The following is an 8693-nucleotide window of genomic DNA, read 5'->3' as shown; positions in this document are numbered from 1 at the left end:
GACTATAATTCACAATATGCTTTCTAAAAATAAGAAAAATAGTATGTGTCACCAATCTGTTTTTTATTTGGCCTCAATAAACTCCTCTCCACTAATATCTCTCAATTGTCCAACTATTCTTCAAAGAAAAGACCATTTCTTTTATCTTTCTAATCTTAAGGAAAACATTCATATTAACTGGATTTATCATTTTGTGATCAGACCATATAATCTGAATTAGGAAACTATTTTGGCAAAAAATGATAATAATTGTTTTTTGTTGTAATTTTGATGGAAATATCGCTGTGGAAATTCCTTTCTATCTAACATATGAGGAAGATCACCTACCGAGACTCCAGTACTTATATGTCATTTGCCTGAGAGTGCACACATTAAATACTTCATTGGTCACATTAAATATCTCAATCTTAAATTTTGGGTTGATTCTATTAAGTCTTTCTATAGTCATGAAGGAGCAACATGGATATATAATACTACTTATCTCTACGATAGACTTATGTTAAAATACTGACTCTGCAATGGTCATTGGCTAGGTACTGTTGGGAGGTGAGGACAGAGAAGACATAAGGAATAAAACAAATGCACGTACATGAACTCACACACATATGAATTCACATATGTGAACACATATAGAACACACAGGCGAACACACATGCATATGAACACTTATGGACCACGCACAAATCATCTTGGAACTAAAGTTCTTCACCATCTGATGGGGTGAGTGAATCTCTCTTACAGGCTAACAGACAAGTCACATACACGATCATTAATTTGTAGAACAACACATGCACTATTATGTTATTTCTGTAACTCACACAAAAGATAACACTGTCCATTTTATGTGGGGCCATGTATATGCATATAGAAATAAAAGTGGCTGGTGGGATATTCCCACACTGAGAACAGTGGTTAATCCAAAGAGTGGTTAATCTAAAAGATAACACTGTCCATTTTATATGGGGCCAGGAAATGTGTACAGAAATAAAAGTGGCCTGGTGGGATATTCCCACACTGAGAACAGGGGTTAATCCAAAGAGCGTGGAATGGAAGAATGGAGAGTAGTGATGAGAGATTTGACCCTTATTCATGCTACTTCACCTTTTATAAGAAGAATATATTTTCTTAATTGTGGTGTATTTTAAAAAACCTTTACAATAAGCCAAGTATTCTAATAGTGGTGTATACACAGTAATGTTAGCACAGATGAAGGAAAGATTAAATGTTTATGCATCCTTGGAAGCCATCTTAGAGGAGGTGCTATTTGAATTCAGTCTTAAAGATAAAAAAGAATGTTCTTATAAGAAATATGAGGGTGGGAGCATATCCAAAGAAACACAATAACGTATTGAAAGACAAAGAAATGGGACAAAACATGGTGTATTCACATTTTGGTGTGGCTCACAAGGAGAATGTGTATGCAGGGGAAATGAACTGGTGAAGAAGAGTTACTGTATTTGAAAGAGGCTTGCCTGTCAGATGAGACTTTAGAATCACTTTTAACCCATGACCCCTTAGATAAACAGAAATATCTCCTGCCTTCTTTTAATGTTAATTGAAACTGCACAAATAATGTGAATATTGCAAACTAAAAATGAAACAAAGGAATAGTAGCTTTAGAATCACACACACACACACACAATCATATTATCTGCTTTTGCTGGCTACACATTTTCTATTCTATGCATCATAAAAGAAAGAGAGAACAGAGAGCTGACATGCAATATTGAACCATTCCTACTGCTTTACTTCCATAGGGACAATGAACACAGAGTAACTTCCCAATTACATACAAATTAAAATAACAAGACAATACCCAAAGCCCACCAGAGCACACCGTTTACCTCATAATCAAATCCTAAAAATGATTTTCTAGAAGTTAACTGTATCAAATGAATGAAGCATTAATTTTTAAAAATTAAACTTCTCTGGGATAGCGACAAAAACTGGGCATCTCTGAGGAGAGTTTTGCACAAGCTTCCTTCTCGGCCAGAGCACGCGAGGTCATGGATTCATTCCCTGGATTTCACTTTCCCCACCTGAGCTGTGCTTTTGTCCCTTTGAACCACTGTCAAGCCGGGTGCTCTTTGAGATCTTCACTGAAGGATGAGACATTTGGTGTTGTGATTTTGTTAGCTGGGGCTGGAGCTTATATATGGATGCTGTAGGGCTTTTTTCCCATCAGTTTCAGTTTCAGCATATTTGAAGCTCGAATATACTTGCCAATTTTGCTAAGTTCTTTTGAAAATTATCATTTTTGGAGGTTTGAAGCATTTGGTAATTTTCCCTGGTGTTCTGAAACCAGAGCAACTTTAGGTCGCAAATCGGGGCAAGCATATTTCTATTTGACAAGGTTGCAGCGTGTTTTCCATGAGCTAATTTCAATAATGTATAAGCAGTCTATTCCAGGTCCCCTGAGTCAAGCTTTGTGGTTCACCAAATTAAATATATATGTGTGTGTGTGTGCATGTCTCTGTGTGTGTGTGTGTATAATTTATACATATATGTATATGTGTGTATATATATATAAAAAACATTAGATCTTTACGAAAGAAAAAGAAGTAGTGCATAGAATGGATGAGCCTGAAGCATGGATCCTGGAATAGTTCTGCCACCTAGTTCCCTCACAGTCTAATCCACACTCTGTCCTCACGAGCCTGGGTGAACATTTCTTCTGGAGGAATCCGTGTTAATAGCTCCTCCTAGAACAGGGCTCAGCTGTGCGGATGTCGTCTTATCAACCACAAGCAAACATGGGGGTAGGGAGCTGTGCGTCAGTGAATCTTGCTCGTGGGAAAATTGTTCTATCAGTCACAGTAGTATGTAGCAGGGCTACATTTTTTTAAAATAGTGCCTGCCCTTCTTGACTGTCTAAAAAAGCAGAACGAAATTCTCACTGAACCAGTAAACCAGCCAAGGAAAAGTGTGTCAATCACATTGATGATTTATTTCTAAGACTCTTGCTGAGTACAAACATTCTAAGTACCATTGGTTAAACTATTATCTTACTTAGAGGGAATAGCTACATAAATCAGAATATTCTTCTCAAGGACTTGCCTTTTGATTTATAATACTTTGGGACAAAATATATTCATCATCTCCATTCTAAAATGAGTAAGTTATTGGTTTCATATTTTTCCCTGCCTAGAATATGGAAAGCATCTTCAGAAGAAATTCCCAAACACAGTGCAAAAAGAGCTTCACTTTAAAAATGTTCAGGTCCAGTGGGACGATATGGGACGATATTCATAATCTGAAGTTTTAAAATTCTGATAGACATTCAAATGGCATCATTGTGGAAAATAAGCAAATTCTATTTGTCATTCAGGATCCTCACATTGCAATTTGAACAATCTACTAATCAACAGTTTTTAATTAACTGCATTACTCACAATGGACTCTCACCCTGGATCACTAAACAGGGTTTTCAAAGCTAAAATTTGGTAACAAATGATCTAATACATTCCTGAAAGAACTTGTTTCCTTCGACTTTCCACCAGAAATCCCTATTACAAAGCTAGCATAGCTGGCATTTTACCAGCTCATGCTCCAATCAGCTTTTTTCTAAATTAATTCATTACATCAAAGAATTTTATTCAGCTGCAAAGCTATCATCAGCTTTATTGTAATCTTCAAGACTTGAGAAAAAATCAGACATTTTTCTACAGATTTTTTTAACCACATATGCTATACATACACTAGTAGTTGGGAAAAAACTGCTTTGCTATAAAATTCATCACAATAAGTAACATAAGAGTAATAATGTCATTCCTGGCATATCCTACATTTTGATATGCTAAATTATTAATTCAGTGGTGGACATTGTGATGATTGATTTTATGTGTCAACTTGGCTCAGCCTTGGTACCCAAACAGTTGGTCAAAAATTATCCAAGGCCAAGCATGGCAGCTCACACCTGGAATCCCTGCACTTTGGGAGGCTGAGGTGGGAGGATTGCTTGAGTACAGGATTCAAGACCGGCCTATGCAACATGGCAAGACCCAATCTCTACAAAAAAAAAAATTTAAAATTAGCTGGGCATAGTGGTCCATGCCTGTGATCCCAGCTACTCAAGAGGCTGAGGCAGGAGGATTGCCTGAACCCAGGAGTTTGAGACATTTAACCACTAGAAATAGAACCAATAGCGTGTGTGTGTGTGTGTGTGTGTGTGTGTGTGTGTTTGTGTGTGTGTGTGTGTGTATGTGTGTCTATGTGTGCATGTGTGTCTGTGTTTGTCGGTGTGCATGTGTATGTCTATATATAAATTTTGATCTTTTTCAAGAAATTGGCTTGCAATTTTGGAGGCTGGCAAGTCTGAAATATGCAGAGTAGGCTGGCAGCTGGAAGCCCAGGAAGAGTTGATAGCACAGTTCGAGCCTGAAGGCCATCTGCTGTCAGAATTCCCTCTTTTCTTTGAGGGAGGTTAGTCTTTGTTCTATTCAGGCCTTTAACTGATTATATGAGGCCTATCTACTTATAAAGAGTAATCTGCTTTACTCAAAGTCTACTGGTTAACTGTTAGCTTCATCTAAAACATACCTTACAAAAATATCTAGGATTTTTTTTTCTTTGAGACAGGGTCTCTGTTGCCCAGGCTGAAGTGCAGTAGTGTGATCGCGGCTCACTGCAGTCTAAAACTCCCTGACTAACACAACTATATATCCAGATAAATTCATATTCTGGAATTTCTTCTCAATTTTCACTGCAGGTAAAATTTGGAAGCCATTATAATAAATATTTTTATGAGGTTTCCTCAGAAATGTGGCATTTAAAAATTATTTGTAATTGGAAGTGTAAGTTCTCAAATTATACCTTTAAATGGGGTTTGCACAAGTATGACTTCAATAGTGTTCAAGTAGTCAAGAGGGTGATGCAATATTATTGTGTAGAATTTTTAGACTAAAATATTCCCAAAACCACAATCCTTTTCTTTTCAATACATGTGAATCAATACTGGATATAAGCTTTGAAAGTTTTTGAACTGTATATTTCCATTATCAGCCACCTAAAAGAACAAGAGGAAAATAGGAATAATGACCCGTCACTCTTACAGAAGAGAAATCATGCTAGCTGTTGCCAGTGATAGGTAGAAGTCTTCCAAACATGCACTCTTTTCTGATCCATGGAAAAGAAACTTTGTATTTACTTTTCGTATATACCTAAAACCACAGTCTATTAATAACCAGCAATTGGTAATGCCCAAAATTAAATATAAATTATTTTATGTTGACAATCTTCTGGTATTTAGCTAGCAAAGCCAAGGATGAAAACTAACTCCTGGGGAAGATGGAATAAAATACAATACGCTTCTCAGGGTTCAGAGATGCTTTACATGTACCCAGTTAGAATAGAAATAGTAAATTTCAATAGAAATAATTTTTTAAAAACTGGATTAATGGTGGTTATGTGCATAGGAATATTTATAATTTGCTAAAAAGAAGCCATTTGATTGGCAGTCACAGAGTTGATTCAATGGTTCAAAGCCATCAAACCTAGGCTCCTTCAACCTTCTGTTTTAGGGTGTTGGCTTTGTCCTCAGGCTTGAATCCTCACTGTCACAAGATAGCTGCCATACCTCCAGCCATCATTCCCAACACAGGAAGCAAAGGAGCAGTCAAAAGAATAGATTTTCTCATTACAGAATTACAATATTTCTCTCAAGAAGAAATATTTTTCTAGAGAAGCCCAGAGGACTTCATAGATCACTGCCCAGAACTGGGTCATATGGCCCCCTAGGACAATCACTGTCAAAGGGAACTAGAATTACTAGCATTCTCTGAGACTCACCATGATTTATCTACCAAATTCAAGCACTTTGCCACATGAACAACACTGGAATTTTGTTAGCAAGAAAGAATTGTAGCATAGGCCGGGTGCAGCAGCTCATGACTATAATCCCAGCACTTTGGGAGGCCGAGGCAGGTGGATCATGAGGTCGGGAGATCAAGACCATCCCGGCTAACATGGTGAAACCCCGCCTCCACTAAAAATACAAAAAAAAAAAAAAAATTAGCCGGGCATGGTGGTGGGCGCCTGTAATCCCAGCTACTTGGGAGGCTGAGGCAGGAGAATGGTGAACCCGGGAGGCGGAGCTTGCAGTGAGCCGAGATCGTGCCACTGCACTCCAGCCTGGGCAACAGAGCAAGACTCCACCTCAAAAAAAAAAAAAATTGTAGCATAAACATTGGGTGGGCAGCCAACTGGCCCACAGTAACTGCCTGCCTTAAATCAGTCAACTTGTAGATGCATAAGATCTTTATCCATAATTAACAAACATGACACAGTCTTTGTAATAGTAGGGTTTACATCAAATATTTTCTCATTCTACACTGAGCATATTTCCACTTGCCATGAAAATGTTGCCAAGCATTACTTCTTTTGTTTTTATTTAGCATTTAGTGTTTTATTTAATTTGTATAATGAAATTGTGTAAGATTTTACTTGTATAAAATATAAATTAATCCAATTGAGTAAAATTTCTCAAACCACTCTATACCTTTATTCAGACATGCATTTTCCTTGCCAGCTAAAGAATCATTAGCTCAGAATGCACCCTAATATGATGCCATCTGAGAGTTTTGAGTGGGAAATGGCAAAAGGTGAGCTACAGACATGGAGGAAGAACCAGAGTTAGAAAGATAACTCCACCAAGGGACAGATAATGCAGGCCAAGGCAGCTGCAATAAAAATAGGGGGAAGGCCAGGTGTGGTGGCTCACGCCTGTAATCCCATCACGTTGGGAGGCCGAGGCAGGCAGATCACCTGAGGTCAAAAGGTCAAGACCATCCTGGCCAACATAGTGAAACCCCGACTCTACTAAAAATACAGAAACCAGCCGGGCATGGTGGCACGTGCCTGTAGTCCCACCTACTCATGAGGCTGAGGCAGGAGAATCGCTTGAACCCGGGAGACGGAGGTTGGAGTGAGCTGAGATCGTGCTATTGCACTTCAGCCTCGGCAACAGAGTGATACTCCACCAAAAAATAAAAATAAAAAGTAAAAAATAATAGGGGGAGAAAGCCCAGAAAGATATTCAGAAGCTCAAGCGACATAAATTTTTGACCAGATAGGAAGCAATTACTGCACTATACAAAACCTGGGCTTTGGGTGAGGTACACCTGAGTCTGAGTCGTGATCTTTCTGCTCACTAACTGAGGTTTTGAACAAGTGATTTTTCTTTCCTAAACCTGAGTTTCATCCAATATGAAATAGGAATAAATGAGAATGCTCAGTAGTTGTAAATACTAAATGACACAATATATAACATGTCTGTCCCCTGTTGAGTATTGAATAAATAAAATAGAAGCTGAATATGATGATCATGATGCTTGTTTCTAGGATAGAAGACAAGTAGATGATATTCAATGAGGATATGAAATATAGTGGAAGATGAGGCTGAGAAGGAACTGTATCAAGTTCAGTTTTAGCCTGCATTGTATTTTATTTGTGTTTATTAAATCCTCATAAAATGTAGAACACAATCTTGGACACAGAGGATTCTCTGTCCAGTGCACCTCCCTGACTCTCAGAACCGCCACCCCTCCCAGCCGACATGGGTCACTTTCAAGTTCACCCAAGTTACAACAAGAGTACTTGGGCACCCTAAACCTCAGCTTCTTCATCTGAAATGGAGAAAATATTACCCAACTGACAATATAAATAGTAAATGTATATAAAACACATAACTACCAGCTGCATAGACAATCAATTAAAAAAAATTCTTCCCTTTCTTTCATCTGAAATTCATACCCCAACATTTCCAGTAGATTTTGAAGGAGTTCCAGTTGACCCAATTTACAGACCAGTAAGAGTTCTAATTCCAGAAATTTAAGAATTCTAATTCCAGCTATTTACACGGGGCCTATGCAAACCAAGGTCCATATGGATTGTAATACAACTAATGCCACCTTGTTAACACAATTAATGCTTTTTCTACTACTTATTAAAACTGATATCATGGCTTTTAGCTATCCCTTACATTACATAATTTGTGGATCAGTTTTCTCACCAGGCTTGCAAAAGCAGTTTACTGTGATCAAGTTCACTCACTGTAAATATCCACCAAATTTGCTAGAAGAGGAAGTCTGCAATAACTTATCTTGCTGATAAACCAATGGGCAGGTCTCATATCTTCTTATCCATGTTTTTCCCTACCTAGTGCCTCACTTATAATAAACATTCAACAAATGCTTTGCAAATAAATGAGGCAGATAACTTTTAGAAGAAACTTCACCCCCAAAAAATTCAATTCATATGTGGAGCAATATTTCAAAGACCTAAATGCAATCTAAGATAAAGGGAATGAATACTACTATATCATTTCCAGCAAAATGATTCACTATTATAAGACTATCCAAATGTAATTAACTAATTTAAAAAATACATGCATCTTTCAAATTTTCCATTTTTTTCACCAGTAATACAAGATGGTAAATCATAACCATTGATCATTCCCAGGTAACATTTTGACTTGCTAAAACAGCAGTCCTTCATATTTTCAAAGGATAAAAATCCATTGGTGAAAGGAAATTCTTCTATACCACAAAATGTTGAAGAAAAGAATATTGAGGCTGTAAAAAAATTATATAGAATATTTCCATATCCCTTTATTCAAAATTGATATAATTAATGTTAACGGTAATAGCTAAATAAAGAAAAACAATTTTAAAAATGCTGTGGATATTCTGGGTATA

The sequence above is a fragment of the Homo sapiens genome, chromosome 18 (genome assembly GCF_000001405.40).
Source record: "Homo sapiens chromosome 18, GRCh38.p14 Primary Assembly".
In the NCBI taxonomy this organism is placed as follows: domain Eukaryota; kingdom Metazoa; phylum Chordata; class Mammalia; order Primates; family Hominidae; genus Homo; species Homo sapiens.
The sequence above is the reverse complement of the archived record's forward strand: the minus strand, read 5'-3'. Positions refer to the sequence as shown.